Source organism: Homo sapiens, chromosome 15 (assembly GCF_000001405.40).
Source record: "Homo sapiens chromosome 15, GRCh38.p14 Primary Assembly".
In the NCBI taxonomy this organism is placed as follows: domain Eukaryota; kingdom Metazoa; phylum Chordata; class Mammalia; order Primates; family Hominidae; genus Homo; species Homo sapiens.
This window is the reverse complement of record NC_000015.10, coordinates 74,503,089-74,528,760: the sequence shown is the minus strand read 5'-3', so window position 1 is coordinate 74,528,760 and position 25,672 is coordinate 74,503,089. Positions and strand designations below refer to the sequence as shown.

General features: G+C 44.5%; 2 annotated features.

The window, feature by feature from the left end:
• Positions 16,183-16,242: an enhancer, noted in NCBI's record as "active region_9780". NCBI's record gives its function as "activates an Ori minimal core promoter by ATAC-STARR-seq in GM12878 lymphoblastoid cells {active_cell/tissue: GM12878}" and the evidence as "EXISTENCE:reporter gene assay evidence [ECO:0000049][PMID:35858748]".
• Positions 16,553-16,602: an enhancer, noted in NCBI's record as "active region_9779". NCBI's record gives its function as "activates an Ori minimal core promoter by ATAC-STARR-seq in GM12878 lymphoblastoid cells {active_cell/tissue: GM12878}" and the evidence as "EXISTENCE:reporter gene assay evidence [ECO:0000049][PMID:35858748]".

Here is a 25,672-nt window from a genome sequence, read left to right as displayed (position 1 = left end):
TCTGCCCACCTTGGCCTCCCAGAGTGCTGAGATTACAGACATGGGCCACCGCACCTGGCCCCTATTTCCTATCTTAACAATAAAGACAGTTATGATACATGTCCCATCTTCAGACTAAAGTTTAATTTTGGCTTTTTCTTTTTTTTTTTTTTTGAGACGGAGCCTCGCTCTGTTGCCCAGGCTGGAGTGCAGTGGCACGATCTCAGCTCACTGCAACCTCCACCTCCCAGGTTCAAGCAATTTTCCTGCCTCAGCCCCCCTAGTAGCTGGGATTTCAGGCATGCACCACCATGCCCGGCTAATTTTTCTATTTTTATTTTATTTGTTTATTTATTTTTTGAGACGGAGTCTCACCCTGTCGCCCAGGCTGGAGTGCAATGATGCAATCTTGGCCCACTGCAACCTCTGCCTCCCGAGTTCAAGCGATTCTCCTGCCTCAGCCTCCTGAGTAGCTGGGATTACAAGCGCCCGCCACCACGCATGGCTAATTTTTTTTTTTTTTCAGTAGAGACGGGGTTTCACCATGTTAGTCAGGCTGGTCTCGAACTCCTGACCTCGTGATCTGCCCTCCTCAGCCTCCCAAAGTGCTGGGATTACAGGAGTGAGCCACCACGCCCAGCCAATTTTTGTATTTTTAGTAGAGACAGGGTTTCGCTATATTGGCCGGGCTGGTCTCGAACTCCTGACCTCAGATGATCCACCTGCCTCGGCCTCCCCAAGTGCTGGGATTACAGTCGTGAGCCACCGTGCCTGGCCTTAATTTTGGCTTTCTTTGGTAATTTTTTAAAGTTACGTAGTAAGAAAAATTCTACAGTACTTGTTAACTGAATATCATGTACTGAGCACTTCATTATCATTTAATCTTCACAATAGTCACCACTTAACAGGTGAGAAAATGGATGCTTACAGTTCAGTAAATTGTGTAAGGTTAAGTTACATGTTATAGGTAGTAGAGCTGGGATTTGAACCCAGGGCTGTCTCATTGTAATCATGCTGTTAGGTCACCATGTTATAGTCCTCCTACCTGTGTAAGTATTGGACTTGTAATCACTTGAGTTTATTTTTCAATATGTATTTTACAATAGTAGACCACAGAGAATCAATAGAGCATATTATCTTTGCAACTTGGCTAAAAGAATCTAAGGGAAGTCCTAAATTAAAGAATAGAACTAGATAATGCTGGACATGTAGCTGACCTGTCTTTTGCATTTGCAGAGTGCCAATTGAAAGAACTTGAATCGGCCAGGTGCAGTGGCTCACATCTGTAATCCCAGCACTTTGGGAGGCTGAGGTGGGAGGATCACAAGGTCAGGAGTTTGAGACCAGCCTGGCCAATAGGTGAAACCCCATCTCTACTAAAAATACAAAAATTAGCTGGGCATGGTGGCGGGTGCCTGTGGTCCCAGTTACTTGGGAGGCTGAGGCAGGAGAATCGCTTGAACCTGGGAGGCAGAGGTTTCAGTGAGCCTAGATGGTGCCACTGTACTCCAGCCTGGGCGACAAAGCGAGACTCCATTAAAAAGAAAGAACGAGAGAGAGAGAGAGAGAGAAAGAGGGAGGGAGGGAAGGAAAGAAAGAACTTGAACCAAGGACAATAGCAAAGGACTGTTAACAAACTAAATGTCCATCAGTAGGGAACGGGCAAAATAACATGTGGTACTTAAGCTATTCAAAAAGCAAACATAGTAGCTCACTCCTATAATCCCAGCACTTTGGTAGGCCCAGGTGGGAGGATCGCTTGAAGCCAAGAATGCAAGACCAGCTTGGGCAACAAAGCAAGACCCTGTCTCTACAAAAACTAAAAGATTAGCTGGGCATGGTGGTCCACACCTGTAGTCATAGCTACTGGGGAGGCTGAGGTGGGAGGATCACTTGAGCCCAGGAGTTTAGGCTGCAGTGAGCTATGATGGCACCATTGCATTCCAGCCTGGGCAACAGTGTAAGATCCTGTCTCCCCTGCCAACGCCCCCCGCAAAAAAAGCAAAAATAAAGAAAATAAAAACAAAGAAGTTATTTTATTTATTTATTTATTTTTGACGGAGCCTTGCACTGTCACCCAGGCTGGAGTGCGGTGGCGCAGTCTTGGCTCACTGCAAGCTCCGCCTCCCAGGTTCACGTCATTCTCCTGCCTCAGGCTCCCGAGTAGCTGGGACTACAGGTGCCCACCACCACGCCCGGCTTTTTTTTTTTTGTACTTTTAGTAGAGATGGGGTTTCACCGTGTTAGCCAGGATGGTCTTGATCTCTTGAGCTCATGATCCGCCTGCCTTGGCCTCCCAAAGTGCTGGGAATACAGGTGTGAGCCCCTGCGCCCGGCAAAGGAGTTATTAATGTACTGATACAGAACACTTAGCAGGAAATTTAATGAAAAAAAAAAAAAAAAACAGAAAACAAAAAAACAAGGTTCACTACAGGGTGTTTAGTATGTTACCATTAATAATTATTGTTTAAAAGGATATGCATATATAGTCATGTTGAACAAGCATGACTCATGGGGTGTGTATCAGTTAATAATAGGTTAAACTACTGTGACAAATAGATCCAAAATATGACTCAGTAAAATACTTAATTTCTTGCTCACCTAACAGTCCCGGGCGGATATTCAGGTCAATGGGGCCACTCTCCTCCACTTTTTTCATTAAGGGGCCCAGAAGCTGTCCATCTATTATCCCCTGGATCAGGTAGTGACACACATTGGTTCCACTCACATTACATTGGAGAAAACCGTCACATGACCACACTCAAATTGAATGGGAGTATGGGAAACAGTCTTGTTGTGTGCCTAAAGAGAATAATGACTTTTGGTAGATAGCAAGGGGTCGCTGCTACAGTCAGCCTCTCTGACCAGCAAATCTCATATTCACCCTTCTCCCAAGAGCTATGACAAAAACTTCCATTCATTTATAGGATTCATATCAGAATCTGGATTGTGGTCTTCTGTAATTGGCCTGAGTGAATTTCCTCATGGTCTAGCAATCTATGAACTAAAAGCCAAGTGGTTGCCACTTTCTCCCCACCCCAATAAACCCACCTGCCCATCTACAATGATGAAGCAGAGACAGGAAAAGGGCAATAGCAAATCCTATTTGGAAAAGGGAGAATGGGAAAAACCCAACCTTCCTGTCCAAAGCAATTATGGAGTTCTGCTAGATATGCATTATGAAGACATCCTTTCCTGGCAGTGGATGAATTTCCTAGATTAGACCAGATTTTGCTCTTTAGGAAAAATTATCCTGGCATTGTTCTCCTTCCACCCTTGTTCTGCCCTCTGGCAAGTTCTTCCTCAGCCATTGTTCTTCCTGGCTTTGTGTGAAGTGGGGTGCCTGTCCTCCTTGGGAACTACACAGCCTTGAAAGCCTCCTTCCTGATGGTGCAACTTTGGATTTCCAAGTGTTACTTTATGGTTTTACTTATTTATTCGGACCAGGCTGGGGAATTTTTTGGCAATACAGTTCACTCAGAAACTTTTTGGATCGATTTGCCTCAAAGCAAACAGTATCTTGTGCCACAACAGTATCTTGTGCCAAAAAAAAAATATATATATATATATATTTTTTTTTTTTTTTTAAAGAGAGGGTCTTATGCCATCATATATATATATATGTATATATATACATATATATATACATATATATATATACATATATATATATATATATATATATATATGTATATATATATATATTTTTTTTTTTTTTTTTTTTTTTTTAAAGAGAGGGTCTCATGCCATCGCCCAGGCTGGAGTGCAGTGGCACCATGTCAGCTCACTGCAATCTCCACCTCCCGGGTTCAGGTGATTCTCCTGCCTCAGCCGGGATTACAGGTGCCTGCCACCATGCCTGGCTAATTTTTTTTTTTTTTTTGAGACAGTCTCGTTCTGTCACCCAGGCTGGAGTGCAGTGGTGCGATCTCAGCTCACTGCAAGCTCCGCCTCCCGGGTTCTCGCCATTCTCCTGCCTCAGCCTCTCGAGTAGCTGGGACTACAGGCACCTGCCACCGTGCCTGGCTAATTTTTTGTATTTTTAGTAGAGACGGGGTTTCACCATGTTAGCCAGGATGGTCTCGATCTCCTGACCTCGTGATCTGCCTGCCTCAGCCTCCCAAGGTGCTGGGATTACAGGCGTGAGCCACCGCGCCCGGCCAACCTGGCTAATTTTTGTATTTTTAGTAGAGGCGGGGTTTTGCCATGTTGGCCAGGCTGGATTTTTTTCAAGACATAAATATCAACTTTTGCTTATCTCTTTCTTTCTTCACTCCATGCCTCTCTCTCTCAACTTAATGGCAGTTACAGTGAGGCCATAGGAAACAATAGGTTTAGGTAAGAGAAAACACCTTTAAACTGTTCTTTGCAGTAGTGCTGAATTCCTCTGTTTAATTGAAATACCTTAGTGGACCTGTGTTTCTCAAAGCCTTTTCAGTCTTTTTTCCTGTTGTTGGGGTTCAGCAGCTTCTCCAACCCTACAAGGCTCCATTGCTGGACTCCTTCTATTCCTTTTCCTTTCACCTGCAAGTCAGTATGTTCTTACCTGAGCTTATCTCTTACTATATCTTGTTAAACACAGCAAGGAATGACTAACACACATGAACATTCTGACTCATGGGCCATGGCTTCAGAATACCATGGAAAGAAACAGAAAATTTTCCTTCTCAATTGGTATCCCTGTTAAAAATAGACAACAAATAAATGAGTTTCATGATGTCTTGGAAATTGCTGTCATTAAGCAGAGGCCCACACTTTAAAAAAATGAGAAGAAATGCTTTAGCAGATCTTTATACTTATAAGTTGCTCTGTCTGAAGTCTTTAAAAGTGAGTTCTTTTAGCAACAGAATGATGATGAGCCCATGGAGAGGTTCAAGAATTCCATCATCTATGCACACTATTGGGTTATAAGATCCATGAGGACAGCCTCCATGTAGCACCAGAAAAGTTCAAACGAACACTTACAAAAGCTCTCCATAGAACAGTTTACCGCAGTGGGGGTGATATGGTTTGGGTCTGTGTCCCCACCCAAATCTCATGTTCAATTGTAATCCTTAATGTTGGAGGTGGGGCCTTACGGAAGGTGATTGGATCATGGGGGTGGTTTCTCATGGTTTAACATCATCACCCTTGGTGCTGTCATCATGATAGTGAGTTCTCATGAGATCTGGTTGTTTAAAAGTACATGGCACTTCCCCACCACACTCGGTACTGCTTCTGTCATGTAAGCCTCCTGATCTCGCTTTGCCTTCTGTCATGATTGTAAGTTTTCTGAGGCCTCCCCAGAAGCGGAGCAGATGCTGCCATGCTTCCTGTACAGCCTGCAGAACCATGAGGTGATTAAAACTCTTTTTTTTTTTTTTTTGAGACACTCAAAGTGGCTAAGAAACTAATGGACTTTGTATTCCCTACAGGAGCTATTCTAATTTAATTGTGTAATGATAGATAAACTTATTTTACTGGGGCAATCATTCTTGAGCTATGTAAAGCATTGCCTGTCATGTCAAAGCCTCGTGCTCCTTACCACTCTCAATCATCTAGAAAAGTCAAAACCACAAAAGGAGTACTAAGCTTAAATTAACTAAATTATCAGACACACTTGAGTTCCCATGGCCTTAAATACTGTCCTTTGCTCTATGACTCTGTGTTCTGCCCATTCAGGAACCCATAGACTGTCTCCCTCTGATTCGGCCACTGGCAGGCAGGCCCATATAACTAGGAGTCCCTCCACCCATACTTGATTCTAATCTCTTACAGGCAGATCTGGCTACCTTTTCAAGCTGCCTTCTGTGTTACTTTGACATGTCACTATCATTCTTTTTTCTTTTTCTTCTTTTTTTTTTTGAGACGGAGTTTCGGTCTTGTTGCCCGGGCTGGAGTGCAATGGTGCGATCTCGGCTCACCACAACCTCTGCCTCCCAGCTTCAAGCAATTTTCCTGCCTCAGGCTCCCAAGTAGCTGGGATTAGAGGCATGTGCCACCATGCCCGGCTAATTTTGTATTTTTAGTAGAGATGGGGTTTCTCCATGTTGGTCAGGCTGGTCTTGAACTCCTGACCTCAAGTGATCCGCCACCTCAGCCTCCCAAAGTGCTGGGATTACAGGTGTGAGCCACTGCGCCCAGCCTCATTCTTTTTTTTTTTTCTTTTTTTAAAAACAGAATTTCATTCTTGTCGCCCAGGCTGGAGTGCAGTGGTGCAATTTCAGCTCACTACAGCTTCTGCCTCCTGGGTTCCAGTGATTCTCCTGCCTCAGCCTCCTGAGTAGCTGGGAGTACAGGTGTGCACCACAAAGCCTGGCTAATTTTTGTATTTTTAGTACAGACGGGGTTTCGCCATGTTGGCCAGGCTGGTCTCGAACTCTTGACCTCAGGTGATCCGCCTGCCTCAGCCTCCCAAAGTGCTGGGATTACAGGCATGAGCCACCGCGCCCAGCCCATTCTTTTTTTTCTTGGAGACAGGGTCTTCCTCTGTTCTTCAGGCTGGAGTGCAATGGTGTGATCATGGCCCACTGCAGGCTCAACCTCCTACCTCAGTCTCCCGAGTAGCTGAGACTATAGGTGTGCGCCACCACACCTGGCTAATTTTTAAGTTTTGTGTAGAGATGGGGTCTTACTCTGTTGCCCAGGCTGGTCTACAACTCCTGGGCTCAAGTGATCCCCCTGTCTTGGCCTCCCAAAGTGCTTGGATTACAGCTGTGAGCCACTGAACCCAGTTTGTCATGTGTTTCTTTTTGCACAAATGAATATATACATGTGTATTTTCTTATTTCCCCCTTTTATTTCTTACCCAGAAGGGAAGGTAGCATACTACAAGATCATATATATATATATATATATATTTTTTTTTTTTTTTTCCCCCAAGAGATAGAGTCTAGCTCTGTGCAGTGGTGCAATGGTGCAGTGGTGCAATCATAGCTCACTGTCGCCTTGAACTCCTGGGCTCCAGGGATTCTCCTGCATCAGCCTCCCAAGTAGGTGGGACCACAGACACACACCACCACAGCTGGCTAATTTTTTAAAAACTTTTTGTAGAGACTGTGGGTGGGACAGGTGGTCTCACCATCTTGTCTAGACTGGTCTTGAACTACTGGGCCCAATAGATCCTCCCACCTCAGCTTCCCAAAGTATTGGAATTACAGGTGTGAGCCACTGTGTCTACTGTATACGGGCTTTTTATTATTCCTGTTTCTGTTGTTGATACTCTTGCCTTTAGTAAACTCCTCCTATACAACAATTACTTATCCACAGTTAGCCCACAGTCTAGCCAGATTCAGTTGCTGGGTTGCACTCACTTCCCTTTAGGTTGTATAATTCTTTTGGGTAGTAATCCCCTCAAGTGATATCAATGACTTCATAATGAATGAAGTTATTATGAACTCTTAACATAATTACTGATAATCACCATCACAAACCTTATATTTCTAAGCCACCAATACCAATATTGTCATGCCTAAAGTAGGACATTTTTGCTTACACAGAAATCAAACTAAAGGGCCTAAGGTGGGGACCAGTTCGTGTGTTCAAATTTTTGTAGCACTGACAGCCCAGGGGAAGAATCACTGGTATGGTTTATCTTAAAAAATGCATAACCTGTACAACTCTTACCACAAAGGCATACCAAAGCATTATTTTCAGATATTTTAAGTTAGTTTTAAAGTGAAGTAGACTCAGATTCATTATCTTTGCCAGGATCCATAATGAGAGTTCTGGATTTTCCTGGCCTGAACCCAGTTCCTAGGTGACTCCTAATGAGTGGTACTTGCTTTGTGGAATAAAGAACTCCTGGTTACTCCCTGAAAATTGGTGATATGTTTCTATTTATGGCAACTGATTCCTGTATTAAGAATCATTCATGGCCGAGCACGGTGGCACATGCCTGTAATTTCAGCACTTTGGGAGACCAAGGCAGACAGATTGCTTGAGGCCAGGAGTTTGAGACCAGCCTGGGCAACATGGCGAGACTCCATCTCTACTAAAAATGTAAAAATTAGCTGGGCATGGTGGTGCCTGTGGTCCCAGCTACTTGAGAAGCTGAGGCTGGAGAATCACTTGAACCCAGGAGGCTGGGGTTGCAGTGAGCCAAGATCACACCACTCACTCCAGCCTGGGCACAGCAAGACCCTGTCTCAAAATAATAATAATAATAATAATAATAATAATAATAATAATTCAGGACCTCACTCATAGACCCTTAATAATAATAATAATAATAATAATTCAGGACCTCACTCCTAGACCCTTTTGGTCAAAATTATCTAAAGAGAAATCCTTTTTTAAAAAAACGGTCTCAGCTGGGCACGGTGGCTCAGCCTGTGATCCCAGCACTTTGGGAGGCCAAAGTGGACGTATCACGAGGTCAGGAGTTTGAGACCAGACTGGCCAATATGGTGAAACCCCGTCTCTACTAAAAATACAAAAATTAGTCGGGCGTGGTGGCGTGCGTACCTGTAGTCCCAGCTACTCGGGAGGCTGAGGCAGAAGAATTGCTTGAACCCTGGAGGTGGAGGTTGCAGTGAGCTGAGATCGTGCCCCTGGACTTCAGCATGGGTGGCAGAGCAAGACTGTCTCAGAAAAAAAAAAAAGGGTCTCTCTGTTACCCAGGCTGGAGTACAGTGGCACAAACATGGCTCACTGCAGCCTTGACCTTCTGGGCTCAAGTGATCCTCCTGCCTCAGCCTCCTGAGTAGCTGGTACTACAGGCGTAGGCCACCGTGCCAGGCTAACTTTTAAACGTTTTTTGTAGAGATGAGGTCTTGCTATGTTGCCCAGGCTGGTCTCAAACTCCTGGGCTCAAGCAATCCTCCCACCTCAGTCTCCCAAAGTGCTGGGATTACTGGTGTGAGCCATTGTACCGGGCCTAAAGGGAAACCCTTTCATTACTTTCTTTTTTTTTTTTTTTGAGATGGAGTTTCACTCTTGTTGCCAAGGCTGGAGTGCAATGGCATGATCTGAGCTCACTGCAGCCTCCGCCTTCCAGGTTCAAGCGATTCTCCTGCCTCAGCCTCCCAAGTAGCTGGGATTACAGGTGTGTGCCACCACACCTGGCTAATTTTTGTATTTTTAGTAGAGTGGGGTTTCACCATATTGGCCAGGATGGTCTCGAACTCCTGACCTCAGGTGATTCACCCGCCTTGGCCTCCCAAAGTGCTGGAATTACAGGCATGAGTCACTGCATCCGGTCCCTTCATTTCTGTTACAAGCAATTAAACCTTGGCATAAGAGAATTTTGAAATTTTTTTTGTCCCCAGACAGCTTCACACCATGCTTTACAGGGGGCACATATATTTGAGAGAATTCTTCAAGTTTATGACTGTACAAATGACTGAAAGCTTAACAAAGACCTTCTAAGCTTTAGACTTATTGCAAGAAGGCAGTCAGCCAAAATAGAGCGCCCATGACATATTCTCCTTATCTCACCAAAAGGAACTTGTGCTGTGCTAAAGGAAAATATTGCACTTGTATTTCCCAAGATGTCTCAGAGATTTTCAACATTAGCAAAGAGATTAGAGAAACTTCAAAAAATTTCAAATGATAACAACCTGGTCAATATTCCTTTGTCTGGGCCAGGCACGGTGGCTCATACTTGTAATCCCAGCACTTTGAGAGGCCGAGGCAGGTGGATCCCTTGAACCCAGGAGTTCGAGACCAGCCTGGCCAACATGGCGGAACCCCATCTCTACCAAAAGTACAAAAATTAGCTGGGCTTGGTGGTGCACACCTGTAGTTACAGCTACTCACTCAGGAGGCTGAGGTGGGAGAATCACCTGAGCCTGGGAGTTCGAGGCTGCGGTGAGCTGAGATCATGCCACTGCACTTCAGCCTGGGTGACAGAATGAGACTCTATCTCAAACAAAAAACATTTCTTTGTCTTATCCCCATACTTCAGGTCAAAAAGAGGGTTTAATCTGTGAAAACTTGGATCATGATTTTGGTGCACTTTCCAGTCCTTCCTTATTCTACTAGTTGTAGGCTGGGTATGGTGGCTCACACCTGTAATCCCAGCACTTCGGGAGACCAAGGCAGGCGGATCACCTGAGGTCAGGAGTTTGAGACCACCATGGCCAACATGACGAAACTTCGTCTCTACTAAAAATACAACAATTAGCGGGGTGTGGTGGCGCACCTGTAATTCCAGCTACTAGGGAGGCTAAGGCATGTGAATTGCTTGAACCCAGGAGGTGGAGGGTGCAGTGAGCTGAGATCGCACCACTGCACTCCAGCCTGGGTGATGGAGTGAGACTGACTCTAAAAAAAAAAAAAAATCTAGTCCTGTGTGTGTGTGTGTGTGTGTGTGTGTGTGTGTGTGTGTGTGTGTATTTTTAAAGACAGAGTCTCCGGCCGGGCACACCTGTAATCCTAGCACTTTGGGAGGCCAAGGCGGGTGGATCACCTCAGGCCAGGAGTTTGAGACCAACCTGGCCAACATGGTGAAACCCCATCTCTACTGGAAATACAAAAAATTAGCCAGGCATGGTGGTAGATGCCTGTAATCCCAGCTACTCGGGAGCCTGAGTGAGGCAGGACAATCACTTGAACCTGGGAGGCGGAGGTTGCAGGGAGCCAAGATTGCGACACTGCACTCCAGCCTGGGCAACAAGAGCGAAACTCTGTCTCAAAAAAAAAGACAGAGTCTCGCTCTGTTGCCCAGGCTGGAGTGCAGTGATGCGATCTCTGCTCACTGCAACCTCTGCCTCCTGGGTTCAAGAGATTCTCCTGCCTCAGCCTCCCTAGTAGCTGGGATTACAGACGCCCCCCAACACGCCTAGCTAATTTTTGTATTTTCAGTAGAGACGGGGTTTCACCATGTTGGCCAGGCTGGTCTCGAACTCCTGACCTCAAGTGATCTGCCCACCTCGTTCTCCCAAAGTGCTGGAATTACAGGCGTGAGCCACTGTGCCTGGCATATATTTTAATGTTGTATTTATATACTGTCTAGCTGGTGTCCAGAATTTTAAACTCTACTGTGTGTTGGCTGTCTCATCAGATGGTGCAACAGATGATCTTGAATCAAAAACAAAATGAAATCATGATGATCACCACAGCCACCATTTCACCCCCGAAGGAAAACCATGTCAGTGGACTACATCTAGAGTTCTAGACCAGGGGCTAGCAAACTATGGCCAATGAGTTAAGTCTGGCCCACCACTTGTTTTTTTAAGTAACGTTTTATTGAAACACAGCCACACCTATTCATTTACGAATCATTTGTGCTATTTTTGTGTGACAGCAGCAGAGTTAAGTTGTTACGATAGAGTCAGTAGGGCTCACAGAACCTAAAATATTTACGTTTTGTCCCTTTACAGAAAAACAGTTGCCCACCACTGTTCTAGACAATATTTAATGGCCTCTTCCATGACCTGTCAAGCAGGGGCAAAATGGGAGATGACAATAGAAAATTCCATTCTTGCCTGAAGAACCTAGCTGATGTCTGCAGGCATTTACACAGGAAACTATAAGATGAATCAATATCAGTCTTGGGCTGAATCACCTGCAGTCATCAAACCTTACATCAATAGGTCACCTGTTCTTGAAACCTATCTAATCAGTGACTAACCCTACTCACTTTGAGCCAAAACCAATCACTTATATTTTCCTAAAATCCCATATAAACCTATTTTTTACTTTGTTCACAGGGATTACATGTATCTTTGCAGTTCTCCCTTGCCCAGCAAGAAATGAATTCTACTTTTGTTTTCTAGATCTGAAGGATTTGTGATTCTTTTAACATGAGCAAAACTAAAATATAATGCCTTAACAAAATAGAGGTTTATTTCCCGTTCACATAGTAGTCTTGGACAGTTGTTTGGCTTGGTGGGGCAGCTCTCCTCTTTGCCATCATCCACAGACCCAGGTTTCTATCTGTCATCACTTGAGCCCTTGTCATCATCTACTTTAAGTTGGCAAAAGGTGGGAAAAAATAGAAGAGTGTTATGGGTGGGGGTGCAGTTATAGGCCAGTTCTGCAAGTCATACCCATCGTATTAACCCAAACCTGTTTTGCATTTCACTGGAAAAAATTTAATAAAAAGATTATACCCAACTGGGCGTGGTGGCTCAAGCCTGTAATCCCAACACTTTGGGAGGCTAAGGCGGGTGATCACTTAAGGTCAGGAATTCGAGACCAGTCGGGCCAACATGGTGAAACCCCATCTCTACTAAAAATACAAAAATTATGCGGGTGTGGTGGTGCACGCCTGTAATCCCAGCTACTCGGGAGGCTGAGGCAGGAGAATCTCTTGAACCTGGGAAGTGGAGGTTGCAGTGAGCCAAGATCTAGCAACTGCACTCCAGCCTGGGCAACAGAACGAGACTCTGTCTCAAAACAAAACAAAACAAAACAAAAGATTATACCAACCTGCAATGTATGCTGGGAAACAGAGCCTAGCTTTGTGCCTAAAGGATAGAATGCCTATTAGTAGGGAGTCTCCGCTACCGCGTATGAATCAGAAAAATCTTAACTTTCATCTTTCACTGGCCTTTTAATGTATTCTTTGGGGCTAGTTTTCCCGTGCCCCCTTAGGTGAAACCATGGTCAAATCCCTCAACTTTTCTGGTTACTCATAAGTATTAAAAGTCTTCCTAGGTTGGGCGCAGTGGCTCATGTCTGTAATCCCAGCACTTTGGGAGGCTGAGGCAGGTGGATCACCTGAGGTTAGGAGTTCGAGACCGGCCAGGCCAACAAGGCAAAACCCCATCTCTACTAAAAATACAAAAATTAGCTGGGCATGGTGGCACATGCTGTAATCCCAGTTACTTATAAGGCTGAGGCAGGAGAATCGCTTGAGCCCAGGAGGTGGACGTTGCAGTGAGCCAAGATCACGCCACTGCACTCCAGCCTGGGTGACAGAGAGAGACTCCATCTCAAAAAAAAAAAAAAAGTCCTGGCCGGGTGAGGTGGCTTACGCCTGTAATCCCAGCACTTTGGGAGGCCAAGGCAGGTGGATCATGAGGTCAAGAGATCAAGACCATCCTGGTCAACATGGTGAAACCCTGTCTCTACTAAAAACACAAAAATTAGCTGGCCGTGGTGGCACACACCTATAGTCCCAGCTACTTGGGAGGCTGAGGCAGGAGAATTGCTTGAACCCAGAAGGCGGAGGTTGCAGTAAGCCCAGATCACACTACTGCACTCCATCCTGGCAACAGAGTGAGACTCTGTCTCAAAAAAAAAAAAAGAAAAAGAAAAAAAAGTTCTCCTGTCATGCTAGTTTCCCAAATAATATCAGTTAAGTGATAAAAAAAAAACTTCCAGCCCCCTCTAACATCCATTACTGTAAAATTCATTTATACAGAGGCTCCACCCTCTTTCCCAGATTGGGCCTCTACGAGGTGGGTTACCTACTATGGAAAAGGAGTGTGTGGCCAGCTCAGCTCCTTCCTCATTCAGTGCTTCCCCTCCTCTCCTCCTCTTGCTAGTCACTGTCTCTGAGACCCTCCAAACTGGGTGGCTGCTAGTCCATCTGGTGCCTCTGTAGATTAGGAATATGTTCCCCTTCTGGGTGTATGCAGCCCCATGGTGAGAGAACTGTACCTCTGTGTGAATTAGGAAAACACTGCTCTTATTCCAAATAGATAAAACCCCATGCCAGGGCATACAGTTTGGAGAATGGAACCCAGACTGGGTTGCAGCCACCATATGCGCCTTCATTTAGGCACCCTTTAGCAGTGAATGAATCACACAGCCATAAGGCCTGTTAAGGTTGGAACATATGGAGAAAGTAATAAAGGAGACGGTAAAGTTCACACTTGACTAGTACTGTCATGAATGGCATCTGTACTCTGGCAGGTGTTTAAGGCTTACTCTTTTTGTATGTGGGCTGTATTTCTGAGTTCCTTAAAGCTTCCTCCTCCCATCATTGGGGATCTCATCTCTGCAGTTTCTTTTTTTTTTTAAGTTGGGGTTTCACTATGTTGGCCAGGCTGATCTCAAACTCCTGACCCCAAGTGATCCACCTGCCTTGGCCTCCCAAAGTGTGGGGACTGCAGGGATGAGCCACCGTGCCCCGCCTGCAGTTTCTTCTGCATAAATGAATACATGGCTTTTCCAGTTGTTTATTTACAATTCTTTATCGAGACTCTAGGCATCTGGTGCTACGCCTCCACCTTCCTTCTGCTGAAGTCCACTTACTTTCCCGGCAGCTTTCTTTTTTTCTGAGATGAGGTCTCCCTCTGTCACCCAAGCTGGAGTGCAGTGGTGCGATCTTGGCTCACTGCAACCTCTGCCTCCTGGGTTCAAGTGATTCTCCTGCCTTAGCCTCCTGAGTACCTGGAATTACAGATGCCCACCACCACGCCCAGCTAATTTTTGTATTTTTAGTAGAGACGGGGTTTCACCATCTTGGCCAGGCTGGTCTTGAACTCCTGACCTCAGGTGATCTGCCCGCCTTGGTCTCCCAAAGTGCTGGGATTACAGGCATGAGCTACCACACTTGGCCTGCAGTTTCTCCTGCATAGATGAATACATGGCTTTTACAGTTGTTTATTTACAATTCTTTCTCGAGACTCTAGGCATCTGGTGCTACGCCTCCACCTTCCTTCTGCTGAAGTCCACTTACTTTCCAGGCAGCTTTCTTGAACAGGATCCAAGGCAATGCTTCTCCAGAGCTCTTGCATGTTTGTATCATACTTAGATTAGAGAAAATATGTTCATTTGACCCATTGTTGCAAGTGCTGCTATATCCCAAATCGCAACCTCTTCTCTACCCCACAGGATGCCTGCATTAACCCTTAACCCTTTACACATCCCAGACAACTCAGACTTCAGCCCACTGTGCCTCTCAAAGACGAAGAAACACATATTCTACTATGTGATCCCAGTAAAATTCGTTTTATTAGTGTGAGGTGAGGGGCATGTACCCCTTAGGATGAGGTTGGAGGCAATGACTCAGTGACTCAGTTCAGCAATAGCTTTTTCTAAAACCTTGAGTCTTTTTTTTTTTCAATCTCTTCAACATCTTTTGCAGGCTGCGGATGGGTAGTGAATGAAGATTGAAAACTGGTTTTCTTTTCTTTTTTTTTTTTTTTTTTGAGATGGAGTCTTGCTCTGTCGCCAGGTTGGAGTGCAGTGACACTATCTTGGCTCACTGCAATCTCTGCCTCCTGGGTTCAAGTGATTCTCCTACCTCAGCCTCCCAAGTACCTGGAATTACAAGCACGTACCACCACATCCAGCTCATTTTTGTATTTTTAGTAGAGATGGAGTTTTACCATGTTGGCCAGGATGGTCTCGATCTCCTGACCTCGTGATCCACCTGCCTCGGCCTCCCAAAGTGCTGGGATTACAGGCGTCAGCCAGCGCGCCCGGCATGAAAATTGGTTTTCTATAATCTTCTTTTGCAAATCCTGTATTGGTGGACTTGCCCGTAACTTTGAAGTGTGACCTTATTGTTTTGGTGTCTCGGCCAAACTTGAGACGAGTGAGGTTCCTTTAAATATCCTATGTATGACATAACTCTGGAAGTACACATAAGGAACAGGAAATATTGGTTACCTTTGGTGGGGAATTTATTGGCTCAGGGCAGCAATGAGAGTGAGAATTTTTCACATATATACTTTTTTGAACCATTTTAATTTAAAACCATATGGTATATAATATCAATTCAAAAATTTAAATTAAAGAAATGTACCTCCTAAATATATTATAGTCATACAATGGAACACTTGGCAAATCTTAAAAAGAATGAGCTATATATCCCGATGTACAAAAATCTCAAAGAAACTGGTGTGGTAGTGTGTACCTATAGTCCCAGCTACTTGGGAGGCTGAGACTGGAGGATTGCTTGAACCCAGGAGTTTGAGTCCAGCCTGGGCAAGATAGCAAGACCCCCACCTCCACCCCACAATTACCTCTAAGGAAAAAAATAATAAAAAGAAAAATCTCAAATATCTTAAACTTGATTCTCATTTCTTAACCACAGAAAAGGCCTTTTTTTTTTTTTTGAGACAGAGTTTTGCTCTTATCACCCAGGCTGGAGTGCAATGGTGTAATCTCGGCTCACTGCAACCACTGCCTCCCAGGTTCAAGCGATTCTCCTACCTCAGCCACCTGAGTAGCTGGGATTACAAGCGCCTGCCACCATGCCTGGCTAATTTTTATATTTTTTGTAGAGACGGGGTTTCACCATGTTGGCCAGGCTGATCTCGAACTCCTGACCTCAAATGATCTGCCCGCCTCGGCTTCCCAAAGTGCTGGGATTACAGGCGTGAGCCACCGCGCCCGGCCAGAAAAGGCTTGTATTTCTCGTACATGGGCATGTATAGTGCAAGATGGACAACTTTTCAGGGCAGCTGTTTCTGCATCTGGTGACTCAGGGATCCAGGCTGTTTCCATTTTGTGGCTTCACCATCTAAATGCGTGGCTTTCACAATTGCTGCAGCAGGGGAAGAGAGAGCTGGAGAGACATAAAATGGCACTAAATGCTTTGGCCCAAGAGTGCCCAATATCATTTCTGTTCATAGCCCTTGAGCCAGAACTAGTCTCATGGTCTCAGCCTCACCGCAAAGCAGGACAGGAAATGTTGTCATCCTTTATGCCCAGAAAAAAGGAAATGAAATGAGGTTCAGTATCATATGGCATCGTGTCTACCACAAAGACACAAACAAGTAACAGGAGGAAGGGTCCTGAGGATCTAATATCAGGAGATTTACTTTTCACTATACTATTCACTCTATTTCTCTTTTTTTATACAACAAAAAGTGAGTATGTATACATACTTGTTCACTGTATTGTTTTGAATTTTTTAACCATTGGCTTGTGTATACTTTTTCAATGAAAGACTTTGTAATTTTTGCAATGGATGCTAAGATTAGTGGGTAAAAGTTTTATGAGGAACAGGATATAGTCTCAAAATATCTCCCCACAAGATACTTATTGGCCAGGCATGGTGGTTCATGCCTATAATCCCAGAGTTTTGGGAGGCTGAGGCCAAGTTGGGAGGATTACTTGAGGCCAGGAGTTGGAGATCAGCCAGGGTAACATAGCAAGACCTGTCTCTACAAAAATAAAATATTAGCCAGGCCTGGTGGCGTGCCTGTAGTCCTTGTTACTCAGGAGGATGAGGTGGGAGGATCACTGGAGCCCGGAAATTTGAGGCTGCAGTGAGTTATGATTGCGCCACTGCACTTCAGCCTGGGCAACAGAGTGAGACCCTGTCTCTAAAAAAAGAAAAAAAAAAGATACTTATTAACTAAAAATCGACAAAGAATAACTTTAAAGTGGAAAACTGGCAGACACCACCTTGACCTAAAAATAAAAATTAACATCACCAGTAGTCAGTAATGTGCCTCCTGATTTAATAAACCAAGAACACAGCATCAGTTTTAGAATATTCCTGCCAAAAATGTATAGCCTGAATCTAATCATGAGGGGAAAAAACAGATAAACCTAAAACAAGAACCTCATACAAAATATCTGGCCTGTATTCTTCAAGTGACAAAGGATCGTGGGAGGCAAAGTCAGACTGAGGAATTATTCCAGATTAAAAGAAACTAAAGAGATTTCTCAACTAAGTGCAGTGTGTGATCCTGGATTGGATCCTGAGCCAGAAAAATAATTTTTCTTTCTTGTTTTTGAGACAGAGTCTCGCTCTGTCGCCCAGGCTGGAGTGTAGTGATGCTATCTCGGCTCACTGCAACCTCCGCCTCCTGGGTTCAAGTGATTCTCCTGCCTCAGCCTCCTGAGTAGCTGGGACTACAGGTGCGCACCACCACGCCTGGCTAAGTTTTGTATTTTTAGTAGAGCCAGGGTTTCACCATGTTGGCCAGGCTGGTCTCGAACTCTTGACCTCAGATGATCTGTCCACCTCGGCTTCCCAAAGTGCTGAGATTACAGGCATGAGTCACCATGCCTGACCTTAGAAAAATAATTTTTCTTTTTGCTGTGGAAAACATTATTAAGACAGTGGAGGATATCTGAATAAGGTCTCTGGGTTAGGTAATATTATTATATCAATGTTATTATTTTTATTTTATAATTGTGCTACTGTTATACAAGAGAATACAATATTCTTGTTTTAGGAAACACATACTTAAGTATTTAGAGATACAATTTCATCCTGTTTGCAATTTATTCTCCAATGGTTCTGGAAAAATAATTTCATATATCATACATATATTTGTGTGTGTATATATGTCTGTATGCATATATATTACCTGTGTGTGTGTGTGTGTATATATATATATGTATATATATATATAGAGAGAGAGAGAGAGAGAGAGAGAGAAATGATAAAGCAAATGTGGTAAAATGTTAACATTTTGAGAATCTTAATAAACGTCATATGGGGCCGGGCGCGGTGGCTCATGCCTGTAATCCCAGCACTTTGGGAGGCCGAGGCATGCAGATCACAAGGTCAGAAGTTCAAGACCAGCCTGGCCAACATGATGAAACCCTGTCTCTACTAAAAATACAAAAATTAGTCAGGTGTGGTGGCACACACCTGTAATCCCAGCTACTTGGGAGGCTGAGGCAGGAGAATTGCTTGAACCTGGGAGACTGAGGTTGCAGTGAGCCATGACTGCACCACTGCACGCCAGCCTGGGCGACAAAGCAAGACTCCGTCTTGGGAAAAAAAAAGAAAAAAAGAAAATGATAAAGCAAATGTGGTAAAATATTAACATTTTGAGAATCTGAATAAAGGGTATATGGGGCCGGGTGCTGTGGCTCACGCCTGTAATCCCAGCAGTTTGGGAGGCCAAGGCGGGCGGATCGCTTTAGGCCAGGAGTTCGATACCAGCCTGGCCAACGTGGTGAAAGCCCGTCTCTACAAAAAACAAAAAACAAAAAAACAAAAAATACAGGCCGGGCCCTGTGGCTCACACCTGTAATCCCAACACTTTGGGAGGCCGAGGCGGGCGGATCACGAGGTCAGGAGTTCGAGACCAGCCTGGCCAGTATGGTGAAACGCTGTCTCTACTAAAAATACAAAAATTAGCAGGGTGTGGTGGCACACGCCTGTAATCCCAGCTACTCAGGAGGCTGAGGGAGAAGAATTGCTTGAAGTCGGGAGGTGGAGATTGCAGTGAGCTGAGATTGCACCACTGCACTCTAGCCTGGGCAACAGAGTGAGACTCTGTCTCAAACAAAACAAAACAAAACAACAACAACAAAAACACACAAAAATTATCTGGGCATGGTGGCAGGTACCTGTAATCCCAGCTACTCAGGGGGCTCAGGCAGGAGAATTGCTTGAACCTGGGAGACAGAGGATGCAATGAGGCGAGATCGCACCACTGCACTCCAGCCTGGGTTACAGAGTAAGACTCTGTCTCAAAAAAAAAAAAAAAAAAAAAAAGTACATGGGATGTCTTTGACCTTTCCTGAAATCATTTTGTAAGTCTGAAATTATTTCAAATAAAAAGTTGTAATAAGTCTAGGTGCAGTGGCTCACTTGTAATCCCAGTACTTTGGGAGGCCAAGGTGGGAGGATGGCTTGAGCCCGGGAGTTTGAGACCAGCCTGGGCAACATAGTAAGACTCTGTCTCTACAAAAATTTAAAAAATAGCCACCCATGGTGGCACATGTCTGTAGTCCCAGCTACTTGAGAGGCTGAGGCAGGAAGACCACTTGAGCCCAGGAGGATCACTCTTGCCACTATATTCCAGCCTGGGCAACAGAGCAAGATTCTTGTCTCCAGAAAAAAAAAAAAAAAAAAAGTTGTCATAAATGACTAGTAATTAACTACACTTATTAAATTTCTGAACTTTTGCATGAGATATAGTGCTTGTTAGTAAATTCTATTTGTAATAGAATTAAGGTCCAGAGTAATTATTTTTCACATGATATCTCACAGAATTATTGTGAGGAACAAACGTAAATATGTATGAATACGGTCTATAAACCATTATTTGAATGCATTGTTTTCACTATTATTGTTACTATTATTATTATTATCATCATCATTCTTTTTAGTTAAAGTGGGTAATTCTTACTGGGGAGTAATGGGTGCTGGTGTCAGAAAGTAACAAGAACAATATATGGAACAAGATATTGAATGCCAGGCCAGGGCACTTGAATTTTGCCTTCTGGAATACTGAAAAGTCATTGCTTACCAAAATGGCTGGGGAGAAAGTTGAATCCTTTTTCCTTCTTTTTTTTTTTTCTTTTTTAACACAGACTGCTCATCTGCAAGAAAGTTTAAGTTTTTTTGTTTGTTTGTTTTTTGGTTTTTTTTTTAGACAGGCTCTTGGTCTGTCACCCAGGCTGGAATGCAGTGGCTCGATCTCGGCTCCTTGCAACCTCTCAAGCCATCCTCCCACTTCAGCCTCCCAAGTAGCTGGAACTATAGGCACACACCACCACACCTGGCTAAGTTTTGTACTTTTCGTAGAGATGGGGTCTCGCTATGTTGTCCAGGCTGGTCTCGAACTCCTGAGCTCAAGCAATCTGCCCGCCTCAGCCTCCCAAAATGCTGGGATTACAGGTGTGAGCCGCCATGCCCAGTGGTGAATTCTTAACAGTTCTAAAAGGTATCCATAGAGATCAGATAATGGTTCAACCTCCTCATTTTGCAGTTAAGCTGGTGGATTTGGCAGATGAAGCATGTGAATTAGAGTCTTGTGGATGAAGCTGTGCAGATTCAAAGATTGAAAGGGCAGAAAAAGAAACACAAGGAGATAAGAAATGTCACATCACCAGGACCAATTACATAATTAGGAGGGCCCAGTGCAAAATGAAAATGCAGGGCCCAGGCCAGACGCGGTGGCCCACGCCTATAATCCCAGCACTTTGGGAAGCTGAGGCGGGCGGATCACCTGAGGTCGGGAGTTCCAGACCAGCCTGACCAACATGGAGAAACCCCATCTCTACTAAAAAATACCAAATTAGCTGGGTGTGGTGGCGCATGCCTGTAATCCCAGCTACTCGGGAGTCTGAGGCAGGAGAATCACTTGAACTCAGGAGGCAGAGGTTGCGGTGAGCCAAGATCGTGCCATTGCACTCTAGCCTGGGCGACAGAGCAAAACTCCATCTCAAAAAAAAAAAATTAAAAAAAAAAAGAAAAAAGAAAATGCAGGGCTCCTTGTTCGTAAGTTATTAAGAATTTCAGAATTTCAGAGATATACCTAATGTAAATGACTAATGGGTGCAGCACACCAACATGGCACATATATACATATGTAACAAACCTGCACATTGTGCACATGTACCCTAGAACTTAAAGTATAATACAAAAAAAAAAAATATATATATATATAAAAGAATTTCAAAACCATGAAAGCAGAACATTAAACCAAGCGTGGGGCCCTACTAAGTGTGGGCCTGGTGTGACAGCACAGGTTGCACACCCGTGAAGCTGGTCCTAAACATCATAACACACCAAATACATCCACATTCAGTAATTCATCCAAGGTCAGTTAAGGTCCTACTAGTGAGGTGCTTTCAGTTAAAAGGGACAGAAACCATGATTCAAACTGACTTCAATCATAAGGAAATATAGACCAGCAGAAGGTTGGTTTTTAAAAATTATTATTATTATTTCAGACAGCCACCTGCCTTGGCCTCCCAAAGTGCTGAGATCACAGGTGTGAACCACCATGCCATGCTGAGCTTCAGATTACACTTTTATTTATTTATTTATTTATTTATTTATATTTATCTTTTTTTGAGATGGAGTCTCGCTCATTTGCCCAGGCTGGAGTACAGTGGTACGATCTCGGCTCACTGCAACCTCCGCCTCCTGGGTTCAAGCGATTCACATGCCTCAGCCTCCTTAGTAGCTGGGATTACAAGCACGCACCACCACTCCCAGCTAATTTTTGTAGTTTTAGTGGAGACAAGGTTTCACCATGTTGGCTAGGCTGGTCTCAAACTCCTGACCTTAAGTGATCCGCCCACCTCAGCCTCCCAAAGTGCTGGGATTACAGGCATGAGCCACTGCTCCTGGCCTTTAAAGTATTATTATTATTTTTGAAATGGAGTGTTGCTCTGTCACCCAGGCTGAAGTGCAGTGGTCCGATCTCTGCTCACTGCAACCTCCATCTCCTGGGTTCAAGTGATTCTACTGCCTCAGCCTCCCAAGTAGTTGGGAAATATGCACCACCATACCCGACTAATTTTTGTGTTTTTAAAAATTATTATTTTATTATTTCGGGACAGGGTCTTGCTCTGTTGCCCAGGCTGTAGTGTGGTGGCACGAACATGGCTCACTGCAGTCTCCACCTCCTGGGCTCAAGTGATCCTCCTGCCCTGGCCTCCCACAGTGCTAGGATTACAATGTGAGCCACCATGCCCAGCCAGAAGGTTGTTCTTTAGGCAGAGTATGATCACTGGCACTCCATGTCACCAAAGGCCCAGCTTCTATCAGACAAGTCTCAGTGCTGTCCTCAGTGTATGGGATTTATCATCCAGCCTAACAACATCCAACATGAGTAATGATCTAACTCTTCCTGTTCTCTTTGGCAGGAACAAGGATGACTTTCCCAGGAGCCTCTTGCATCTCATTAGCTAGAATTGAGTCCTATGTCCATGGCAGGAGGAATGTGGAACCACAATTGGATTAGGCCATCAGGATGCCCTTCCTGTGGCTGAGGTGGGGGCATCTTGCCCTGAAGCACAGGGCTATGTGGGGGAGAGTGGACACCTATGCAAAGTCAGGGCTCTGGTGGGAAAGGGGAGAAGAAGCGTGGGCCACAGTGTCCGACACACTGTTATTTCCACACTGCCGGTGCAAAGGCAGGGTGGTTAGCAATGCCATGCTGTGTGACAGCTGCTTGGTTAGTGGAAGGATGAAGTGCAGGGCAGGGAGCAGTGGGACGGGGCTGGAGGGCTTGGCAGGGGCTTGATCAGGTGTTTCACAGTAGGCAGTTGGGCTTCATCCAAGAGGTCAGTAGTGTTACACAATATGATCGTAGATGGTTCACAGAAGAATATTTTTATGTCGATGAGTATATGTTTATTCTTATGTGTATTTTAAAAATAATTAGTGAGCAGAACACAAAAAGCACTAGTCATAAAGAAAAAGATTGGTAATTTGAATTGATTAAAATGAAGAACTAATCAAAAGACACCATTAAGAGGGAAAAAAGGCAAACCATAGAGAGGGAGACTATATTTGCAATCCTCATGTTAAACTTCGAGCCCTTGTCAAGAATACATGCAGGCTGGTGGCTCATGCCTATAATCCCAGCACTTTGGGAGGCTGAGGCAGAAGGATCACTTGAGCCCAGGAGTTGAAGACCAGCCTGGGCAACATAGGGAGACCCTCATTTCTCCAAAAACAATTTTTTGTTGTTGTTTTATTTTGTTTTGTTTTGAGACAGAGTCTTGCTCTGTCGCCCAGGCTGGAGTGCAGTGGTGCAATCTCGGCTCACTGCAACCTCTGCCTCCCAGGTTCAAGCGATTCTCCTGCCTCAGCCTCCCAAGTAGCTGGGACTACAAGTGCCCACCACCACGCCCGGCTAATTTTTGTATTTTTAGTAGAGATGGGGTTTCACCATATTGGCCAGGCTGGTCTCGAACTCCTGACCTCAGATGATGTATACACCTTGGCCTCCCAAAGTCCTGCTATTACAGGCATGAGCCACTGTGCCCAGTCCAAAAATTTTTTTAAAAGTACCTGGGTGTGGTGGCGGGCACCTGTAGTTCCAGCTACTCGTGAGGCTGATGTGGGAGAATCACTTGAGCCCAGGAGGTCAAGGTTGCCGTGAGCTATGATTGCACCACCGCACTCTAGCCTAAGCAACTGGATGAGATTCTATCTTAAAAACAAAACAAAACAAAACAAAAAATACATACACATACACACCCACACATTTGTGTGGGAGATGGGAGAAGACACTGTGTGTAATTTGTGGCAAGTCCTAGCAGGGTCACTGGGGTTCTGGAGCAAGCCCATGCCATCTGGAGAATCACCCTTGGAAAAATACATACATACACCACAATACTACAAATCAATAAGGAAAAAAACAGACAACTAAATTAAGGGCAAGAAACATGAACAAGCACTTCACAGAAAACATGAACAAGCGCTTCACATCCAATTGACTGATAAACATAAAAAGTCTTTCAACCTCATTAGTCATTAGGGAAATACAAATTAAAACCACAATGAGATACCACTTTACATCAATGAGAATGACTAAAATTAAAATAACCGATGACATCAAGTGTTATTGAGGATACCAAACAACTGGAATGCTCATTCAGTGTTCCGGAGGAGGTAAATTGGTATAGTCATCTTGGAAAACTATTTGGCAGTGTCTAGTAAAACTAAACAAACATAATCTATGACCCAGCAATTTAACTCCTAGGTGTTTACATCCAGAAATGCATACATGCGTATAATAAAAGACACCAACAAGAATGTTTATAGCAGCACTATTCATAACAGATACAACCTGGAAACAACCTAAATGTCCATCACTGGTAGACGGAATAAACAGACTGGGATGTGATTATACAATGAACTACTATATATCAATGAGAAAAGTAAACTATTGCTACATGCGATAAGACGGATGAATTTCACAATGTTGAAGGAAAGAAACCAAACATAAAATAATACACATGGTAGAATTCATTTCATTTATATGAAAAGCTCAAAAGCAGGTAAACAATCTACTTGTGTTCATAGCAATATTATTTATACTAACCAAAAGGTGGAAGTAACCCAAGTGTCCACTGATGAATGTATGGATAAACAAAATGTGGCATATAGATACAGTGGAATTTTTTTATTATTTTTTTTTAGAGATGTAGTTTTGCCCTTGTTTTCCAGCCTGGAGTGCAATGGCGCCATCTCAGCTCACTGCAGCCTCCATCTCCTGGGTTTAAACCATTCTCCTGCCTCACCTTCCTAAATAGCTGGGATTACAGACATGCGCCACCACACCTGGCTAATTTTGTATTTTTAGTAGAGATGGGGTTTCACCATGTTGGCCAGGCTGGTCTCAAACTCCTGACCTCAAGTGATTCACCCACCTCAAGCTCCCGAAGTGCTTGGATTTCAGGCATGAGCCACTGTGCCCAGCAAGATGCAGCGGAATATTAGTCGGCCTTGAAAAGGAAGGAAATCCTGTCACATGCTACACCACGGCTGAAACTTAAGGATATTAGGCTATGTAAAATAAGCCAGGCACAGAAAGATGCATACTGTATGATTCCATTTGTATGAAGTACTTTGAGCAGTCAGATTTTTTTTTTTTTTTTTTTTTGAGACGGAGTCTCGCTCTGTCACCCAGGCCGGACTGCGGACTGCAGTGGCGCAATCTCGGCTCACTGCAAGCTCCGCTTCCTGGGTTCACGCCATTCTCCTGCCTCAGCCTCCTGAGTAGCTGGGACTACAGGCGCCCACCACCGCGCCTGGCTAATTTTTTGTATTTTTAGTAGAGACGGGGTTTCACCTTGTTAGCCAGGATGGTCTCGATCTCCTGACCTCATGATCCACCCGCCTCGGCCTCCCAAAGTGCTGGGATTACAGGCGTGAGCCACCGCGCCCGGCGAGCAGTCAGATTTATAGACACAGAAAGTAGAATGGTAGGCCAGGCGTGGTGGCTCACGCCTGTAATCCTAGCACTTTGGGAAGCCGAGGTGGGCAGATCACAAGGTCGGGAGTTCAAGACCAGCCTGGCCAACAAAGTGAAACCCTGTCTGTACTAAAAATACAAAGATTAGCTGGGCATGGTGGCAGGCACCTGTAGTCCCAGCTACTCGGGAGGCTGAGGCAGGAGAATCACTTGAACCCGGGAGGCAGAGGTCG